The sequence below is a fragment of the Homo sapiens genome, chromosome 8 (genome assembly GCF_000001405.40).
Source record: "Homo sapiens chromosome 8, GRCh38.p14 Primary Assembly".
Taxonomy (NCBI): domain Eukaryota; kingdom Metazoa; phylum Chordata; class Mammalia; order Primates; family Hominidae; genus Homo; species Homo sapiens.
The window spans coordinates 41,132,679-41,154,697 of NC_000008.11; the positions used below are offsets into that span (position 1 = coordinate 41,132,679).

General features: G+C 45.5%; 2 annotated features.

The window, feature by feature from the left end:
- Window positions 18,509-19,708: an enhancer, noted in NCBI's record as "P300/CBP strongly-dependent group 1 enhancer chr8:41008706-41009905 (GRCh37/hg19 assembly coordinates)". NCBI's record gives its function as "activates an origin of replication core promoter dependent on BRD2, BRD4, P300/CBP, MED14 and CDK7 cofactors, with strong dependence on P300/CBP, by STARR-seq in HCT116 cells {active_cell/tissue: HCT116}" and the evidence as "EXISTENCE:reporter gene assay evidence [ECO:0000049][PMID:35650434]".
- Window positions 19,012-19,306: an enhancer, noted in NCBI's record as "tiled region #1363; HepG2 Activating DNase unmatched - State 8:EnhW, and K562 Activating non-DNase unmatched - State 22:ReprW". NCBI's record gives its function as "activates a minimal TATA promoter and a strong SV40 promoter by Sharpr-MPRA in HepG2 and K562 cells {active_cell/tissue: HepG2 | K562}" and the evidence as "EXISTENCE:reporter gene assay evidence [ECO:0000049][PMID:27701403]".

Below are 22,019 nucleotides of genomic sequence, written 5' to 3' on the forward strand. Positions count from 1 at the left end.
GGTAAATAATGAAATTAAGGCAGAAATCAAGAAGTTATTTGAAACTAATGAGAACAAAGAGACAATGTACCAGAATCTCTGGGATGCAGTTAAAGCAATGTTAAGAGGGAAATTTATACCACTAAATGCCCACATCAAAAAGCTAGAAAGATCTCAAGTTAACAACCTAACATCATAACTAAAAGAACTGGAGAACCAAGAGCAAAAAACCCCCAAAGCTAGCAGAAGACAAGAAATAACCATGATCAGACCTGAACTGAAGAAGATAAAGACATGAAAAACCCATAAAAAATGAATAAAATCCAGAAGCTGTTTTTTTGAAAAAATTAATAAAATATATAGACCTCTAGCTAGACTAATAAAGAAGAAAATAGAAAAGAATCAAATAAACACAATCAGAAATGATAAGGGGGATGTCACCACTGACCCCACAGAAATACAAACAACCATCAGAGAATACTGTAAACACCTCTATGCACATAAACTAGAAAATCTAGAAGAAATAAAAAAATTCTTGGACACATACACCCTCCCAAGACTGAGCCAGAAAGAAATTGAATCCCCGAATAGACCAATAATGAGTTCTGAAATTCAAGCAGTAAATAGCCTACCAACCAAAAAAAGCCCAGATCCACACAGATTCATAGCCGAATTCCACCAGAGATACAAAGAAGAGCTGGTACAATTTCTACTGAAACTATTCCAAAAAATTGAAAAGGAGGGACTCCTCCCTAACTCATTCTATGAGGCCAGCATCATTATGATACCAAAACCTGGCAGAGATACAACAACAAAAAATTTCAGGCCAATATCGTTGATGCACATTGATGCAAAAATCCTCAAAAAAGTACTGTGAAACTGAATCCAGCAGCACATCAAAAACTTATGGATCACCATCACGTTGGCTTCCTCCCTGGGATGCAAGTTTGGTTCAACATATGCAAAACAATAAATGTGATTTATCACATAAACAGAACTAAAGACAAAAACCACATGATTATCTCAATAGATGCAGAAAAGGCCTTTGATAAAATTCAACATCCCTTCGTGTTAAAAATTCTTAATAAGCTAGGTATTGAAGGAACGTACCTCAAAATAACAAGAGCCATATATGACAGACCCACTGACAACATCATACTGAATGGGCAAAAGCTGGAAACATTCCCATTGAAAACTGGCACAAGACAAGAATGCCCTCTCTCACCACTCCTATTGAACACAGTATTGGAAGTTCTGGCCAAGGCAATCAGGCAAGAGAAAGAAATAAAGCATATTCAAATAGGAAGAAGGAAGTCAAATTACCTTTGTTTGTGGATGACATAATCCTATATCTAGAAAATCCCATTGTCTTAGACCAAAAGCTTCTTCAGCTGATAAGCAACTTCAGCAGTCTCAGGATACAAAATCAGTGTGCAAAAATTGCTAGCATTTCTATACACCAACAAAAGGCAAGCAGAGAGTGAAATCATGAATGAACTCCCTTTCACAATTGCTACAAAAATAATAAAATACCTAGGAATATAGTCAACAAGGGAAGTGAAGAACCTCTTCAAGGAGAACTACAAACCACTGCTCAAAAAAGTCAGAGAGGACACAAACAAATGGAGAAACAGTCTATGCTCATGGATGGGATGAATCAATATTGTGAAAATGGCCATACTGCCCAAAGTAATTAATATATTAAATGTTATTCCATTAAACTACCACTGAAATTCTTCACAGAATTAGAAAAAACTATTTTAAAATTCATATGGAACCAAAAAATAGCCTGAATAGCCAAGACAATCCTAAGCAAAAAGAGCAAAGCTGGAGTCATCACACTACCCAACTTCAAACTATACTACAAGGCTACAGTAACCAAAACAGCATGGTGCTGGTACAAGAACAGAAACATAGACCAATGGAACAAATAGAGAACTCAGAAACAAGACTGCACACCTACAACCATATGATCTTCAACAAACCTGACAAAAACAAACAATGGGGAAAGGATTCCCTAGTTTTTATTATTATTATTATTATTATTATTATTATTATTATTATTATTATTATTGAGTCAGGATCTCACTGTTGCCCAGGCTGGAGTGCAATGGCGCAATCTCGGCTCTTTGCAAATTCTGCCCCCCAGGTTCAAGCAATTCTCCAGCCTTAGCCTCCTGAGTAGCTGGGATTACAGGTGCCCGCCACCACACCCAGCTGATTTTTGTATTTTTAGTAGAGACAGGGTTTCACCGTACTGGCCAGGCTGGTCTCTTGGGCAGGCTGGTCTTGAACTCCTGACCTTGTGATCTGCCCGCCTCAGCCTCCCTAAGTGCTGGGATTACAGGCATGAGCCACTGCACCAGGCCCAGGATTCCCTATTTAATAAATGGTTCTGGGAGAACTGGCTAGCCATATGCAGAAAACTGAAACTGGACCTCTTCCTTATACCTTATACAAAAATTAACTCAAGATGGATTACAGACTTAAATGTAAACCCCAAACTATAAAAGCCCTAGAAGAAAATCTAGGCAATACCATTCAGGACATAGGCATGGGCAAAGATTTAATGATGAAAACAGCAAAAACAATTGCAACAAACGCCAAAATTGACAAATGGGATGTAAGTAAACTAAAGAGCTTCTGCACAGCAAAAGAAACTAGCATCAGAACACAGGCAACCTACAGAATGGGAGAAAATTTCTGCAATCTATGCATCAACAGAGGTCTAAGATCCAGAGTCTATAAGGAACTTAAACAAATTTACAAGAAAAAAACAACCCCATTAAAAAGTGGGCAAAGCACATGAGCAGACACTTCTCAAAGGAATACATACATGTAATCGACAAATATACGAAGAAAAGCTCAACATCAGTGACAATTAGAGAAATGCAAATCAAAACCACAATGAGATATGATACCATCTCATGCCAGTCAGAATGGCTATTATTTAAAAGTCAAAAAACAACAGATGCTGACAAGTTTGTAGAGAAAAATGAATACTTTTACACTACTGGTGGAAGTGTAAATTAGTTCAACCATTGTGGAAGACATTGTGGTGATTCCTTAAAGGGTAGACACAGAAATACCACTTGACCCAGCAATCCCGTTACTGGGTATATGCCCAAAGGAATATAAATCATTCTATTATAAAAACACATGCATGCATATGTTCACTGCAGCACTATTCACAATAACAAAGACATGGAATCAACCTAAATGCCCATCAAGATAGACTGGATAAAGAAAAGTGGTACATATACATCATGGAATACTATGCAGCCACAAAAAGGAAAAAAATCATGTCCTTTGCAGGGACAGGGATGGAGCTGGAAGCAATTATCCTTGGCAAGCTAATGCAGGAACAGAAAACCAAACACTGCATGTTCTCACTTCTAAGTGGGAGCTGAATGATGAGAACACATGGACACAAGGAGGGGAACAACACACATGGGGCCTATCAGGGGTGGGCAGGGAGGAGGAAGGGCATTAGGAAAAATAGCTAATGCATGCTGGGCTTACTACCTAGCTGATGGGTTGATCTGTGCAGCAAATCACCATGGCACATGTTTACCTATGTAACTAACCTGAACATCCCTGCACATATACCGCTGAACTTAAAGGTTGAAGAAAAAGAAATTTTTTTTTAATCAAAGGACTTAAAAATCCTGCACTTCCCAGTTATTTTCTATTAGCCAGAATGAGTAAGGAATTCTTGCTCTCTGCTCCTCTTGGCTTACTAAGGAGGGAGGGAAGCCAGCACTGCTCATGCTATTCATGGAATCAAAAGAATCTTCGCAAGTCAGGTCTCCACAGTGGTTTCCACTCGATGCCCCCTGACCACTCCCTCTAAAATTTCTCCTCCCCATCTCACTCCAGCCTCCTGCCAACCCTTCCTCTACTGTCTTTTACTTCACTGTACTCGCCTCCACCTAAATCATATGAGCTATTTATTCGTTTACCTGATTGTGCTCTGTCTTCTCCTCTAGAATATGAGCTGCTTGAAGGCAAATACTGCCTCACTTGCCTCTATAGCTGCAAGCATGGAGGAGAGCCCAGAGTGCAACAGGAATTCAGTCAATGTTTTCTGAATGAATGAATGAATGAATGAACAGATGAATGGATGAAAGGAGGGAGGATTGCTCCCCTGCCTCTGCTTCTCCAGCTCCCGCTCCTCTCTCGCCCTCATGTGCCTGGGCCACTCTGGTCTTCTTTCTCTTTTAGAGACAGAGTCTCACTCTGTCGCCCAGGCTGGAGTACAGTGGCGCGATCTCAGTTCACTGCAACCTCTGCCTCCCGGATTCAAGCAATTCTCTGCCTCAGCCTACCAAGTAGCTGGGACTACAGGGGCCCGCCACCACACCTGGCTAATTTTTGTATTTTTAGTAGAGACGGGGTTTCACCATCTTGGCCAGGCTGGTCTTGAACTCCTGACCTCATGATCCACCCACCTCGGCCTCCCAAAGTGCTGGGATTACATCTGGTCTTCTTGTTGTTCCTCTAATCACATTTCTGTCCTCAGGCTCCTCACACACCTAAGGTCCCTCCAACTCTCTAATGCTCACTCCTTCCAGATCTCAGCCCCAGCGTCTCCTTCCCACCACTCATGTCCCCAGCTGGCCTTGGGCCCCATCACACACCTCCCACCTCCCTGGACTCTTTCCACAGAGCACTTATCATGGTTTGCAATATGGCATTTATTTGAGAGACTATTTACTCCATGACTTAGTCAAAAACCGCCTTCTTGCCATCATATTCCCAGTTCACAGCTGTGTCTGGCACACAATCAGTGCTTAATAAATATTTGCCTTTAATATTTATTATGATTAAATGAGCAAAAGTTTCCTCCAAACCCTTGAGTTTTGGGATAAAGGGTACAATTTACAAACATAGAAGTTTGTAATTGTCCCAGATTACCAAGTTTTTTAAGACTTTCTGGGTAGACTTCCCCAAACTTTCCTACTTTCATAAGCCAAGCCACATAGGATTAGACCCATCATTTTTCAGCTATATGCTAGCCATGATTTTCTCAAGTGGATGATCAGAAGAACGGAGAGGTGAGGTCAGGGGTGGGGAGTGGGGTGGGGAATAACAGGGGAACAGGAGGGTTTGCTCAAGTAAGAGGTGAAGGTTACTGGGTGACTCAGAGGCTTGGGCCTTCCTTAATATTGATGACCTTCCCGCCTCCCACCATCGTATTAGAAAAAGACAAAACATAATCTGTTATCACAGAAAAAACCTCAGTGATTAATATTGTGAATATATATCTGCTTTTACTTATTGCCAACAGATTAGCAAGACACCCTTGATCCAATTTTATAGCATTTTGGAACCAGTAGGTATCTAGGGACTTAGGCAATCTGGCCCTCTAATTTTACAGACAAAGGCACTGAGGTCCATATGTTACCCAAGTTGACCAAGCAAAAATTATAATTCAGTCCCATCTCCTAGAACCATATGCCTTTATCTTTGTTGCAAGTTTTTTTTTTAATTTGCTACATTTTCCTACATTGTTTGTTGTAGCAGAATATGGTTAGTAACACAGGCAAATGATTATTGACAAGCACAACATGTGCTTATTAGCCGCATGTCATTGCTTCACTAGGGTTTCCCCAGAGCAGCCTCAGAGACAAATTGATGGGGAGGTGAACTCAGGAAGCAGAGGAGGGAATGGGGAAGGGAGACAGGGAAGGGAAGTAAGTCCCCAAGGTGGAGCTAATGGGCAGTTTTCTGGGTGGACCAGTGGGGCTTTATCCAACTGGGCAAATCTCAGATTTGTCCCATGGAGAGCAAGGCAGCGGGGTCAGTTACTTGCCAGCTTCTCTCCTGTATCACTGGAGGGCTGCTGTGGTTCCTTAGCTGTGACGTCCCAAAACAGAGGGGCCACGAGGGAAGCTGGGATATGTGGAAACTGTCTGCAAGGCAGCCTCCAAGTTAGGTCTAAGGGCATCTACAGACTTTCCTCTTGCCACTCTCCTGGAGTGTGGGAAATGCGAAGCCTGATAAGGCATAATGCCTGATTTCAGATCCCACAACCAGGAGGGCCCTAGAAATCATCTAGGCCAGAGGTCTGCAAAGATTTTCTGCAAAGGGCCAGAGAGTAAATATTTTAAGTTTCATGGATCGTCTGTCCTCTGCTGGGAGAACCAACTCTGCCATCGTAGTATAAAAAGTAGCCGCAGATAAGATGTAAAACATTGAGCATGGCTGTGCTCCAATCAAACTTTATTTACAAAAACAGGGTGAGGTGTTGGATTTGGCCCCAAGACCATAGTGTGCTGATCCCTGATTAGACAACCCTTTTTATTTTAGCATGAAGAAAATTGAGACCCACAGAGCTTCTCAGGGCCACGGTTCAGGACTTTGTGGTGGTGTCAGAGCTGGGAGGATCAAATCAAGTCTGGCTTTCAGTCCAGAGCACTTTCCACTCTGCCCCATCCAGTCTTCTCCCAGTAGGGGCTTTTCTTTGACTGCTACCCACCCTGCACTGACCTCCTGGACATACAGAGGAGGGACAGCCAGAGGAGTGTGCAGGAGCCCCTGCTTTAGAGGCTGTGCATCTTGGATTTCCCAGATCTTGCCATCTGCAGAGATACTCCTTATTCCACCTGGATCCCTTCCTGCCTCAGCTGTGCCCATTTTCTACCTCTTCTAAGTTAAAATCCTAGCACTTTGGGAGGCCAAGGTGGGCAGATCACTTGAAGTCAGGAGTTCTAAGTGAAAATCAACCTGGTATTGATCTATGAAAGTTTTCAGAAAACTCAGAAGGCCACCAGGGATTCATCCATGCCAGTGATGCTGTGTATAAAGCCAGGTACACAACATGTGTGAGACCCCACCTCTCTCTTACAACATATATTATTAAAAGTTTCTTTCCGAATTCTAGCCAAGCATTTATGGTCAGGACAAGCAAATAATTAGGAATAACATGCTTACTTTCTTCTCCTCTTTTTTTCTCACCCTGTGCACCCAACACACACACAGACACACACACACATACACACACACAGACACACAGACACACACACACACACACACACATGTGCATGCATGCACATGCATCAGTAGAGGAACCAAACAGAAAAGAATACAGAACGGAATAGTGTTCTCCTCAGACCGAGTGAAATTAACTCTAGTGTAAATGACTTTGTAGAGTCAGGAGAGCAGGGTCTGAACCCACACTTTTCCATGTGTTTGCTGTTTAACACTGAACAAATGACATAACTTCCCTGATTCCCCCAGTCTTCTTATTTCAAACTCGGTAACACTGCATGCCTCATGGGTTTGTTGTGCAATAAATGTGAAATCACATGACCTCTGGGAGGCTGTTACCAGGCCAAGTCCATAGCAGGCACTCCACGAACAATGGGTTGCTCTCCCTGACCACAAGGAGGATGTGATTCCATGTGTTCCCTGCTTCTCCCCTGCCTAAAACTCCTGCCTAGTTTTCTTTCTTTCTCTCTCTCTCTCTCTCTCTCTCACACACACACACACACACACATGCTCTTTGTCACATTCAGACACTTATTTCTGGCTTCTATCCGGTGGTTGCACACCCTCCCAACATCGCGAATCTTGGAGACACTAACCAGGATGTGCTGCCACCCGCTCTGTTCCCTGTGCAGAGTGGCAGGAAAGCTTGACCTGGGCACCTGAGCTCGGTGTGTCTGTGCATGGGGGGAGTGGGACAGCACAGGACAGGGCAAGGGGCACCATCTCTTTTTCCTCTTCTGAAATCACTGGAAGTAAATTTCAAATTTTTGTCTTAACAATATCCTGAGAGCCCTGTGATTAATGCTGAGCATGCTTTTGAGATGGCCTTGCTTGAGCCAGTTCAGGTTTTACACAGGTAGGTTTTCAGTCTGAAAGGACTCAGGACTCTTTCCTGGTTTCAAATTGCTGTTTCAACCAATGGAACCAACCAGAACTTACATCCTGCTATCCCAAACCCTGGGGAGTGAGAGCCGCACGGGGCAGGCTTTCTTTATTCCTTTGTGTTGCTATAAAGAAATACCTGAAGTTGGGTAATTTATAAAGGAAGAAGGTTTATTTGCTCATGATGATGCTGGCTGGAAGACTGGGCATCTGGGGAGGGCCTTAGGCTTCTTACACTCCTGATGGAAGGGGAAGGGGAGCTGGCACATGCAGAGATCACAGGGCAAGAGAGGAAGCAGGAGAGGAGAGGGGGCCCAGCTCTTCCTAACAACCAGCTCTTGCAGGAACTAGAATGAAAATGCACTCATCCCCCAGGAAGGGGATTAATCTATTCATCAGTGATCTGCCCCCTGACCCAAATGCTTTGCACTAGGCCCCACCTTCAACATGGGGATTAAATTTCAACAGAAGTGTGAGGGGACAAACATCCAAATGACACAAACATCCAAACCACAGCACTGCCCACAGCCTCTCTCATTAGTGGAGGGGAGATGAGTTGCCTACAATAGGAAAGGCCTGTGGAAATCTCCTCTGAAAACACAATGTAAGCCTTTTTAAAAATTATTATTTATTTTTATTTAGAGACAGGGTCTCACTTTGTTGCTCAGGCTGGAGTGCAGTGGCACAATCACAGCTCACCGCAGCCTTGACTTCTTGGGCTCAAGAGATCCTCCTGCCTCAGCCTCCTGAGTAACTGAGACTACAAGTGCATATCACCACACCTGGCTAAATTTTGCTTATTTTTTGTAAAGACAGGGTCTCACTATGTTTCCCAGGCTGGTCTCAAATTCCTGGGCTCAAGCGACCCTCCTGCCTCAGCCTCTCAAAGTGCTGGGATTACAGGTGTGAGACACCGTGCCCGGCTAGTGTACACGGTTTGATGTGCACGCTGTGCTGGATCTCTTCTGCTTTGCCCTCTAGATGGAATTTCTATCCTCCACTCTGCCATGAGCTCCTGAAAACTGGACATGTGCACAACAGCAAGCCCACATAACTTCTGTCTTCCTGTTGAGTTCAGCCCAAGAAAGATCGGGAAATCTACTTCCTCATGCCCCTCCCAGGGGTACCGCTGCAAGCTGGCTGCAAGTCCTGCCGGGCTGGTTCTGATACTGTCCCCTGCCCTTGTTCCTTAAGCCCAGTGGGGGTAAGACCTCCCCAGTTCCAGTCCTGTGTTCTTCACTATACTTCGTGGCCAGCCTACACTCTTCCCACACCTTTGTAAAAAGCCCTTGTGTTAAACACCCTCTCAAATCTCCCGGTTCCAGCATGCCATCTGTTTCCTGCAGGGACCCTGGCTGATCAGGTACAGCACATGGCAGAGGAATGTTCAAGACTGGAGGTCTGCGGGGAACAGACCATCTCCCGGCAGGTTCAACAGGGGATGCTGCATCAGGCCCAGAGGACAGGGTCTGAAGATGCTGGAAGAAGGGGATGAAGAGGCTACATCCGGAGGCAGAGAGGATGGTGGTATGATGGGGATGGGGTGTGGCCACTTCAAATCCTCTGCCCCAACATTAGCAAGAGGGAGAAGCTCAGGACATCAGTCCAGGTTCTGGGAGAGCACCAGGGACACCTGCAGTCCAAATGAGGAAAGCGTCGCCCCCACTGGCCAGCTGTCACCACAGAGCCAAATGGGGAAATCAATCAGGATTATGATTATGGGATACAGGTTGGGGATGCTCTAAAAAGAGCCCCCAGCGTTCACGACAGTTTTCCAGTCAATCTGAACACAGGTAGAGCAGCCAGTGAAAGGTTGCAGCTCTTCCCAAAAGGATGTGGGGTCAGATTCGGAGCCTGGTGCCACTGACAAGTCCTGCCTTGCCTTTGGGGACAGATCCAAGGCCCTAGGACAAGAGCCAGAGGCTGAAGAAACTTGGAAGAAACAGCTGCCCGGCCTCAGGAAGAGGGCCCTTCTTTCTTGGTGGGTTGTCTGGGAAGAAAGCTAATGTTTTTGATTGTAGGCAAGCAGGGTACCAAAACTACATCCCTTGTCCCTTCCCTAGCACAAACAGAGAAACCTTGGAAAAGGAAGCCAGACACACAGCCAGTCTCCAAAGTGGGGCACACCATCTCCAAATGGATTACATGACCCATTGAGCAGCCTTCACCGTGGATTATTTAGGCACTGTTAAGAGTCAGGGCTCTATAAATTGGATGTAAAATGCATGCGGGTTTCCTGTAGTTTATCAAGCTGGTAACTCCCTAAAACCAGAACACAGAGCAAGAATATGCCAAAGAGCTGAAGAAGGAGGAGATGAAAACTTTCTAAAGTTAACGCTGGATTCAGAACCCAAGATTTAGCACCCTGCTCACCCAGCCCACGGGTATTTAGGGGAGGGCCCACTTGACCTTGGCCTCAAAGGCAGGAGATGTCGCCCCTGGTTATTTTTTATGGATTCATCATGCACAATTTACTTGTTTCCGCAGAGATTTATATTTTTAATCTGGACTGACTCTTGCGCTCTCTAAATTTACTACCTTGGAAACAACAGTACTTCCTTTTGTTTATTCTACACTGTACTTCTTTCAAGCCGTGAAGAGTGTTCCTGAACTGGGTGTTCTGGAAAAGCTCCCTCCGGCTATTCCCACTCATCAGTTTAGTAGGCTTTGGTCATATTTGCTTTGAGTTTCATCCATCCAGCCCACCTGTATTTATTGAGCACTTACTATGTGCCCTGAATTGGGCATCTCTGCCTCCACTACACTCATTTTTTTGGTTCTTTTGATTGTTCTTCACTCTTTTCTTTCTTCACTTACCCATCTAAATAATTTCACTGGGCGAGGTGCAGTAGCTCATGCCTGTAATCCCAGCACCTTGGGAGGCCAGGGAGAGAGAATCACTTGAAGCCAGGAAATTGAGACCAGGCTGAGTAAGAAAATGAGATGCCATCTCTACAAAAAAAAAGAAAAAATTAGCTAGGCATAGTGGTGCGCTGGTAGTCACAGCTACTTGGGATGCTTCTGAGGAAGGATCGCATGAGCCTGGGAGGTCAAGGCTGCAGTGAGCTGTGACCATGCCACTGCACTCCAGCCTGGGTGGCGCGGTGAGACCCTTTCCCTAATAATAATAGTAATGATGATAGCTTCACTGACCTGCAAAAATTAAATAAGCATATCACCATTTTCTTTTCACAAAAGAGGGAACCAAGGTGCAGAGATATTTCATTCTCAAGAACTACTGCAAAGCTGCAGTCTCATCTGAAGGAGATGAGTGTTGAAGTTTGCAGACTTGGGTTCAAATTCTGGCTCTACTGCTTACCAGCCAGGTGACCTTGGGTATGTTGAGGAACTGCCCTGAGCCTTAATCTCCTCATCTGTAGAATGGACGTCATATCACTTCTCTCAAAAGATTCTGAAGAATTAAATAAGAAAAAAAAAAAAAGAATTAAATAAGAAAACACTTGCATGTGACATAGGAGCAGTTCTTCATATGAATCCAGGCCACTTGTTTGCAGAAACATGGCCCTTCCACTACAAGAAGGCATAAGACTACAGAGGCAGGACAGGGACAGGAAGGCAAGAGTTAGATTCATTGATTTCCTGACATCCTGCACATTATGAGAAGGAAACAAAATTAACCAAATGCCAAGCACAGCTTTCCCCTAAAGTGGGAGTGTCAGCATCCTCTCTCTCCCTGGCCAACGTCTTCCTTCAGAGGGATGTCATGCAGAGAACAAGGAACCAGAGTCACGAACGGGCCGGGCCCTTGTTTCAAGTCATAAGTTAATGCCACCTTTGGCTGGTTGCCATTTTGTGAAATTGTAGGAAGATGTGTCAGTCTTTCAGTGTTTGATCGCTCTCTAACCTAAGAAAGAATTTCCCTCTAGACCTGGACATGAATGTGAAGGCTGGGGGCATATTTGGTACCCAACTGAGAATAGAACTCTTGCTAAGCAAGAAAGACTCAAAGCCCTTGAGAAAGATTCATGGCGAGGACTGTGCAGAGGAAACCGACTGTTTAAGGACACCTTCCAGGTCTGTGTGGGTCCAGGGCAGGAGCCGCAGAGGGGCAGACCCCCAAGGTGATCAGAGCACTTGATTGTGGCAAGGAAGGGCATGTGGTCCCTTCTGTGCCCCATAGGTGAGATCAGTAGTGACCAACCTGGGGCCCACACTTGTTCTCTGCAGGCTTGCTAGCAGATGGCTTGTGCTGTGTCCTCCCCTCAGTGTCATCCTTTTAACAAGAATCACAGAATTGAAGCTTTCAAGGGTCTCCGGGTAGCAGGTGGTGGAGGCTCCGCTAAGGCTCTGGGAGGTGTACTGGAGTTGAAGTGAGAGGCATCACCCTGGGAGGGTCTCTCCCATCCTTGCTCCTCCCCTGTCCAGTGAGGGACTAGATCAGCACTTCCCTCAAAGTCTGCTGCCTGGACCATCAATTTCAAATGACCAAGGTCCATGGTAACGGTGTGGATTCCTGGCCCATGCAAGCTGACTGGGTGATTCTACTAACTTTGAGAACCCCAGACACAATAATCAGTAACTCTCTTCCAGACCTAATAACACAGAACTGCGTGACCACACACAGACAAAAACACCTCCAGCACCTCACCTTGTCACCTTTGGAAAGACTGGGCCCTGAGTATCAGAGTCTGATCAGAACACCACCCCTACCACCTTCATTTCTTTAGCCTAAAGCTCCGGCCTTCATTGAAATAAAATCTCATGCAGTAAATTGTTATCAGTCGTTTATACCCCCAGGAGCCTGAGCTTCAAATAATTTGCTGAGGACAGATGTGAGCCCAGAGAAAAACCAGGAGGGTAGGGTGGGGAGATGGGCAGGAGAGGGGAAAGTGTAGGGGAGAGGGTCCAGGGACCTAGAAATTTCTGAGATAAATATTGCCCCATTCACAATTTCAACTATGGCTGGTGCCGAATAAGAACGAATCTTCCCAAACAGGCACATACCTAGTGGTTCTCGCCCATCCTACTTCGGGAGTTTGTTCCTGACCTTGCTACTTGTTTGAAGCTTAGCACATCCTGACCGAAGCCTTAGACCCTGCTTCCAACAGAATTTGAACTGGAAACTAGTGTTTGCCCAAGGCTTTCCTGCTGAAAAATAATATTTGTGGAAGGACAGAGCTGGCTCAGAAGTTCTGAGCAGATCCAGAAGCTTCTCTTTCACAGTCTGTGTCTGTGTAACCGGCCACTCCTCATCCACAACTCCATTCATCTCTCATGTTTTGGCACTTCTGGGGGACATTCTGGCCCCTTCAGACCCTCAAAAGGGAACCAGGAAAGAGTATACAGGGCTTTTTTTTGCAGGGCTATGAATACCCTCACTCAGAAAGGGTCAGGGCAGGTACCAAGCTGTCTTATCCAGAATTTGGTGCTGTTTTTGCTTGCTCTTTGAAGCTACTTAGGCTTCCCTTTGCACTCCTGTGACTCTTTAGAAGAGTCCAATTCCTCCTTATTTATTTATTTCATGCTGACTTCTAAGCTCCCCGACACCCAGTGAGTCCCCTCTTCCCCCAGACACATCCCCGTCCCATCCTCCCTTCTCACTGTGCCTGCATGTAAGGGCTCACTCAGCCCTTTCTCAGATCTGCTGGAGGTGCTCTGCTCCTTTAAGGGGCTCCTCACAGCAGGACGTGGGACCACAGCCTACAGGACCGGCCAGCCATTCTGACAGGTGAGAGCCTGGATCCCTGCTCTCCAGAACCTCAAGAAGCTCAGAGCCTGAACGTGCTGACACAAGGGGCTCCCTCTCTCACAAGGACACTCTGTGCCAGATGCATTGTGCAGAGTACCTCCACCATGACCAGGTGATTTAGGCATCCTTGTGCTTTCTGCAGATAAGGCGAGGGGGACTCTTGGAGGTGACCTAGCTTGCCCAATGTCCCGCCCAGGCACATGGAGAGCTGTGATTCTAAGTCAATGTCTCCAACCCAAAGCCCAGTGCCCTTCACATCTGATAGGGACAAGACAGCAATACCAGGAGGGACCTGCAGGTGGAGTGGTGACATGATGGAAGCAGTAGCTTCTGGAAGAGCTTCTGGAATCCATGTGTGAGATGGACTGGGAGGAAGATGAGTAAAGATCGGCCACAACGGGGAGGCGGTGAGAAGCATCAAAATGATTAGGTGACTTCGTGGATGTAAATCCTTTTCCAGGGCAAAGCTAAAAACAACTCTTTGTGACAGGAAGGGGTTAACTCTCTCAAGAGAGCTCAATGACTACCCAGTCTCAGAGCCCCTGCTGTGCTCAGGCAGAAAATGGGCAGGAGTAGCCCAAGGAATACTTTATTGATGCGGTGATCGGCCTCACATGAAACTGCAGTTTGTGGAGGGCAGCAAGCAGCCCAGACTGTGATAGTTGAAGCAGGTTAGAGCTGCATAACCCTAAACAGCAGAGTTTTATCAGTCCTTCAGCTCCTGTGCCCTCCCAGCTCCAGACATCCACCAGCAGGCTCTAACCTCAGGATTTCCCATGGTGCACAGAAGACTTGTCCTGATTTGGGATAATGGAGACAGTGTGACCATGGTGGTAGTTGGGAGTGGGAACTGTTCCCTGAACCCAGCCTGAAGCAATTTTAAAGGGCAGGGCCACCCGGGGCCCAGGGTCTGCAGCTAGTTAAAAAAATAATCTCTGATGAGGTCTCAAGGTTTGGCTCTTTTTCTCTCCACTGATTTCTCCCAGACAGACCAGATGGATTTGGTTCCAGGTCAGCGTGTTCTCTTACCCTTCAGCTCAGCAGCCATCCATTTCTCCTGTCTACCTCTCCTAACTATCTGCAGTAATAAAATCCTACCTTGAACAGTGCATTCTGATTTGCAAAGCTCCCTCAATGCACGATCTCATTTGGTCTTCTTAACAATACTAAGGTAGAGGTATTTTTTCCCATTTTACGGATGAAAACCTGAAGCTCAGAAGCTATCACTTGCCCAAGGCCATAAAAACTGAGCCCAGGCACGACACAGTGGTGCCTGTAATCCCAGCACTTTGGGAGGCCAAGGTGGGCAGATCATCTGAGGTCAGGAGTTCGAGACCAGCCTGACCAACATGGTGAAACCCCATCTCTACTAAAAATACAAAAATTAGCCAGGTGTGGTGGCACATGCCTGTAGTCCCAGCTACTCTTGGGAGGCTGAGGCAGGAGAATCGCTTGACCCCAGGAGCCAAAGGTTTCAGAGCCAAGATTGCGCCATTGCACCCCAGCCTGGTCAATGAGAACAAAACTCCATCTCAAAAAAAAAAAAAAAAAACTGAGCCCATAACTTTCCTCCAGATAAGCTCTTCCTCCAATTTCCTCCATACTAATGATCGAATCCACCAACTACCCAATGATTCATGCCAGAAGCCTGAGAGACAGACACCTTTGACACTGCATCTTCTCTGAACTTCCTCTCAGCAGTTACCAAATCCCATCATTTTTAATCTCCTAAATAAGTCTCTCCATCTCCACACTAGACTGTCGCCTCCCTCACTGTGATGTCTCCCCAGAGCCAACAAGGCAGCCTCTTCTCTGGTCATCCAACACTACTCTTGCCATATTTGTGCCATTCTCACAGCATGCTGAGTGTTGTTTCAGAACTGAAACCTGCTCATTTCATTCCTTAAGTTAAAACTCATACGAGGTCCCCATTATTTCTAGAAGAAGAAGAAGAGAGGGAGGAGGAGGGGGAAGAAGAAAATGCTTAACATGACTCCCAAGCCCTTTATGGTCAATCCCTGTCTACGTCTTTATCTTTACCTTCATCACACCTAATTCTTCCCACCATCCCCCTGAGCTCCAGTCACATTAGCCTTTCTTTAGCTCTTCAAATGTGCTAAACAGTTCCTGCCGCAGGATCTCGTACCTGCTATTCCCTCTGCCTGGAATATTTCAATCCAACCTCGTTTTGCTTAGTTAAATTCTTACTCAGGGTCTCAACTTCAACGTTATTTCTTCAGAAAAACCTTCTTTTATCTCCCCAAAAAGGTTGCGTTACTCAGTTCTGTACTCTCATATCTCTTCATATTTCTCCTTCATGACAGGTGTCACAATTGTAATTAATTATTTGTGTGATTGTAACAATTGACTGTGGGCACAAAAATACTGCATAACAAACTGCTTCAAAATCCAGTGACTTGAAACCATATTCCCAGGTTCTCATGGGCTGCAGGTCAGCTGGGCATGACAGGTCTAGTTCAGGCTCAGATGGTGGCTTCATTTCAGGATGCAGTGGCGGGGTGGCCACTCTGCTTCTCATTGAGGTTGGTGAGCCACTGGGACCAGCCTCTGCTCCACACGTCTCTCACTCTCTTCAGCCCAACTGACTTCAGTGGGTTCTTCTCGTGGTGATGGTAGGGGCAGAAGAGGGCAAACAGACGTGTGTGAAGCCTAGGCTTGGAATAGGCACAAGGTCATGTCTGCACCATTCCACTGGCTAAAACCAAAGTCAGAGGGTAGGAAAAAATATGCCTCATTCCTTTAGTAGGACAAATTCTAAAGTCACATGGCAAAGAACAAGGACAGAGAAGGGATGTGAAATATTAGGGCAAAGAATGCAATCTACCCCAGTACTTATTGAACTGCATTGAACTCCGTTTTTTCATTTAAATGGTAAAATCTATGAATACATAGTTTTCTAAACTGCATAACAAATTACCACAAATTTAGTGACCTGAATAACAGGTGTTTATTATCTCACAGTTTCTATGAGTCAGGAATTCAATCATGGCTTAGCTGGATTTTTTGTTCACAATCTCATAATGCTGCAATCAGGGTGTTGACTGGACTGTGTTCTCATCTGAAGGTGTGACTGGGGAGAAATCCACTTGGAAGCTCCCTTAGGTTGTTGGCAGAATTCATCATGTTGCTGCAGGACTGAGGGTCCTGTCTTCTTGCTGGTCGTTGGCTCAGGGCTGCTCTCATCTCATTACCACATAACCCTTTCGGTGGACTGTTCACCACATGGCTGTTTGCTTCTTCAAGGCCACCAAGAGAGCCAGATCAAGTCTTCCCAGAGTAACCACAGGAGTGATATCCCATCACCTCTCCCGTATTCTTAAAACTAAAAGCAATTCAGAGATCCCACCTATATTCATGCAACTGGTACTATATAGGTTGTAACAACAGGGAGTGGAGATCATGGGGACCACCTTAGAATTCTGCCTACACACTGTGATGATAGAAAGAGATGGACTTCATCTGTCCTGGTATTTCAATATTTCTATGCTTCACACAATACCACAAAGATAGTTTGTGTTCAGTAAATATTAGTTGAAGGGATTAATGAATGAAAAAACACAAATGATGATAGTGGAATAGGACTTAGGTCTAGGTCTTTCAACTCTGACTCTAAAATTCTCCCATTATCCCAGCTGCCTTCTCAGCCCACTTTTCTGCTCGGTCCCTCCCTCTCACATCATGTCTTCATTCCCAGTGCTTCCTAAGTTTTAACTCCACCACATTGTCTTATCTTTTTTTTTTTTTTTTTTTTTTTGAGACAGAGTCTCGCTCTGTCACCCAGGCTGGAGTGCAGTGACATGATCTCAGCTCACTGCAACCTCTGCCTCCCCAGGTTCAAGCAATTATCCTGCCTCAGCCTCTCAAGTAGCTGGGATTACAGGTGCCTGCCACCACACCTGGCTAATTTTTGTATTTTTAGTAGAGATAGGGTCTCACCACGTTGACCAGGCTGGTCTGGAACTCCTGACCTCAGGTGATCTACCCACCTCAGCCTCCCAAAGTGCTGGGATTACAGGCATGAGCCACTGCGCCCAGCCCCACACTGTCTTACTTTATCTATCATTCTCTTCCTCTGTTTCATTCGTGCCACCACTATTCCTCTCCTGCTGTTTTCTCCTCACTTCCAGGCCCACTCCCCACACTTCCTTAGACTTTATATGATTCCCAGAGCACCAAACTCTTTTAAAGACAATGGGAGAAAGAACAAGATACCTTCCCTACCAGCATAGAGCAAGCACTCCAATAATATGTTTAAATGAGTGAATGATTGAAAGAATGAATGGAAAATATATTTCCAGGAAGAGAAAGACATCTTATTGTCTTGGATGTGTCTGCCTTTTGATGGACCTGAAGGTGGAAATGCCAAATATGAGCAGGGAGACCTGGAAGGGATCTCTGGTGACCTAATGGAATAGGAAAGTCATCTGTTTCATTTAAACTTTGGGGACTGTGTGTCTGTCTGTCTATCTGTTGGGACAAAGACTTAGATAGAATAATAGGAGTTTAACTCACACATATTTGAAAATACAGAGCTCTAGTCCTCTGAGTCTCTTAATTTTACATTCTAATTTATGTTCAGTGTTTTGCACAAAATGTGGATGTCACACTCAAAAACGATGCACTTTTCCACCCCCCACTTCCACATACCACATGCCCTTTCCTGACACCCTCCCAAGAGAACAACAAGACAATCCACTATGGTGGTTAGTTTTATGTGTCCACTTGATAGAGCCATAGGGTCCCCTGATATTTGGTCAAACATTATTCTGGGTGTTTCTGCTAAAGTGTTTTGAGATTAATGTTTAAATCAGTAGACTGAGTAAAGCAGATTGCTCTCCATAATGTGAGTGATGGGGGGATTATTCAATCAGTTGAAAACCTGAATAGAACAAAATTACTGACCCTTGAGTAAGAGAGAATTCTTCCTGCCTATCGGCCTTTGAACTGGAACTACACCACTGGCTGTTCTAGTTTTCAGGCCTTCGGACTTACTGAAGTTAAACCATCAGCTCTCCTGGATCTCCAGCTGGCCTCCTGCAGATCTTGGGACTTGCCAGCCTCCATAATCATGTAAGCAAATTTTTTTTTTTTTTTGAGACGGAGTTTCACCTTGTCGCGCAGGTTGGAGTGCAATGGCGCGATCTCAGCTCACTGCAACCTCCACCTCCCGGGTTCAAGCAATTCTCCTGCCTCAGGCTCCCAAGTAACTGGGATTACAGGTGCCCACCACCACACCTGGCTAATTTTTTGTATTTTTAGTAGAAACGGAGTTTCACCATGTTGGCCAGGTTGGTCTCGAACTCCTGGCCTCAGGTGATCCACCCCCCTCACCATCCCAAAGTGCTGGGATTACAGACGTGAGCCACTGTGCCCGGCCTGATTCTTTATAATAAATCACTCTCTCTCTCCTCTCTTTTTTTTTTTTTTTTCTGTCTCTCCACACACCCACACACACACACACCATTGCTTCTGCATTTCTGGAGAATGATGACTAATACAGTGACCTTCTGAGCTTGCGTCGAGTCAGGGTGTGGAATGCATGAAATGTATAAGGTGAACGGCTGGCTTTGTGAGTCACATCCCAGGTCAAGGACTCAGCATGGTGGGCAGGTCATCACCATCACAAATCTGGCCCTGTCCAGTCTGTTTGTACTGCCATCAAGGCACACAAAAATCAGAGGTTCCAACCACTGGGTTGGGCTAAGCACACTGGGAACATGGGTGAAGTTTACTGGGGGCCAACCTGCTGGATCTCCTATCATCAGCTTTTCTCTGCATATGCAAACTAAAGCTTTATGAAGGAAAAGAGTTCTGGAAGACAGAAAAGCCCTGAGGATCTAAAGAAATAATATCTAGGCATAGAATCGTCACCATAGCACACACGTGGACAGAGAGCAAGCTTGGGGAAGAGGTGTCTTCCTCCAGGTCGTGGTCTCCAGCTCGTCCCCTGAGGCTGTGGCTTGAGCCACAGAGGAATACACTCAACCTTACAGCTGGAAGGACCTGGCCCTAATAAAAATATGCCAGTGGCTTGTAGAAGAAAGAACTTTCCCCAGGCTGCAGTTATCAGAAAGATTGATGTTTTCCATACCCTGGAAGGTGATTTAACTGAGCTTCTGATCAAACACACGACAATCTGGAGTCCTCAACTGATTCGAAATGAAACTCTATTTCCTGTCTTTGGCATCATTTCCTTCCGGTCAACATTTGTTCCACCATTTCCAGGTTGAAGATTATTCTCTTTAGTGGAAAAGACATGGTAACTAGGATTTGATGGGCTCTGTGTTCTCTGAGTCAGAAGGTAGAATAGAAAGAGTTATTATACTCACAACAGTTGACATAGGTTCTGGTCCCACTTCATCAATAACTTATCAGTGCTTTTAAACATATCTGGGTGTCTTTCCCTCTTCTGCAAAATGAGACCTTTAGATTGTGTGCTGATTAAGGTTTATAGGCTAAGGTGTTGTAACAAAGACATGCCAAAGTACAGTGGCTTAAATAAGAAGTTTATGCCTCTTTTTCACCAAACCTAAAATTATTAGGTTGGTGCAAAAGTAATTGCGGGTTTTGCCATTAAAAGTGGTTCAGGGATGGTGGGTTAGCTCTACTCAAAAAGGTCCAGGGAGCCAGGCTAGGGGGTCAACATGTGACTTTTGCTTCTGGATCCAAGGCAGCAGCAATGGGGAAGGAAGGCCCAGGACTTTCCTCTTTAACTAGAATTGCACACATCATTCTGCTCATGCTCATATCCCACTGGCCGGTGTCATTGCCACATTGCCACCTAGCTGTGAAAAAGGCTGGGAAATTCAGTTTGTAATTGAGCGGTCATGTATCCAGCTAAAGCTGGGAATGGGGCAAGGGGGAAGAGAGCTTTATTAGTCAACAAGAAAAGAGAATAATAAATAGGGGGAATGACTCTACCACTGACAACATGATCTTGAAAGTTCTTTTGGCTCTTAAGACAAAAAGAGGCTAGGTTCTTCAGCGATTACACAATCTTTCCCCGGCATTGGCTTTATTCTGTTGTCATTTCCTTACTCCAAATAGTCCATTTTGTTGTTTGACACATTTCACAATCCACAGCTCATTGTGGCCCTGAGTCTCCCTGACCTCATCCCTGTGGACTGGCCTTAGCTTCCATCTTTTGGGGGATCACTCTTAAAATCTGAACTCATCAGCGGGTTTTACAGGCAGTTATGTTGTTTCTTAGATGCCTTCCCTTAGTCTCTTCCTTGCTACTATTCCTGGTTATTAGTTGAATCTTGGAATCTCCTGGGTTATTTTCAGGTTTTTTTCTCCCAGTAATCTTTCTGAAAGAGGAGACATGTAGGTGGCATTTATCTGGTAATGCCCAGATAAATTTCCCTGAGGTTCCCGTACCATATAGTGCCCAGCCCTGGTGGACAGAACCAAGCCTGGGGGAGGAGCCCCCTATATCATTTACCACTCCTTTCAGAAGCTGAAAGAGATTAGGGCAAGTCAGTATCCACAAGGCTTGATTTTCAGTAGACAAGCTATTGTCCCATTACTGCTTCCTCAGTCTAGAGTGAAATTTCGACAACAGTATTTCACCTGAAAATGACCATGGCAAGCTCTTCATGTCCCAGTTTTCTTGCTGATGTTTCTCCCTGTTGACCATGCCCTCTGTGCACTCTTTAGCATGGTCCAGACTCCTTTGGCCAATACATCAGCCAGCACTGACAATGCCCTTGACTATTGTTCTGCAATGCACTGTCCTGACCCTTCAGCGACCTTCTCCTATTCCTTATTCTGGATTCTGGTTCCTCATGAAGGCTCTCATTGTCTAAAGAACAGGAACCTCGCCTGGATGGAAGAAGAGAGAAAACAAAGTGTGCAGAGCTAAGGGAAGAGGGAGGGAGCCAAGGAGAAGACTGAAAAAGAGCAGAGCTTGGCAGGAGCTCGTTCCCCAGGGGCCATGGCTGACAAATTCCCTGAGCCGCAAGCAATGGTAGCCAAGGAAGTGGGTACAGCCAGCTGGCTACGCAGCTCTAGAAAGCCAGAAACTCCGGACTGGTGGGTCCTCAAGAGTGCACTTTGGGGTGCAGAAAAGTAAAATGAGATTCCATCAGCAAGACCTAATGAGAAGGCCACAGCCTCTGGTGAGCAGATGGAGCAGAGAGAAGGAGGAGCCCTGACATTCATCTCCAGGGTGTGGGTGAAGAGCACAGCCAGCCCCAGGGGCACAGAGCAGGTCAGAACCACAGGACCCCCTGTGCACAGCTTGGCAAACTGCCTTTTGGTGGAGAGGGGGCTGGAGAGACCCGGCCAGCCTTGTGGACTTCACAGAGGTAGCTGTTGGTGTAAATCTTTGCCCTGCAACATTTGTTCCTGACCATCCATGTTTTCCAGGTGGGGTAAGGAGGAGATCAGAGCAAAAACAGAAAAGGAGTTCCAAAGGGGGTCTTCTTTTTCT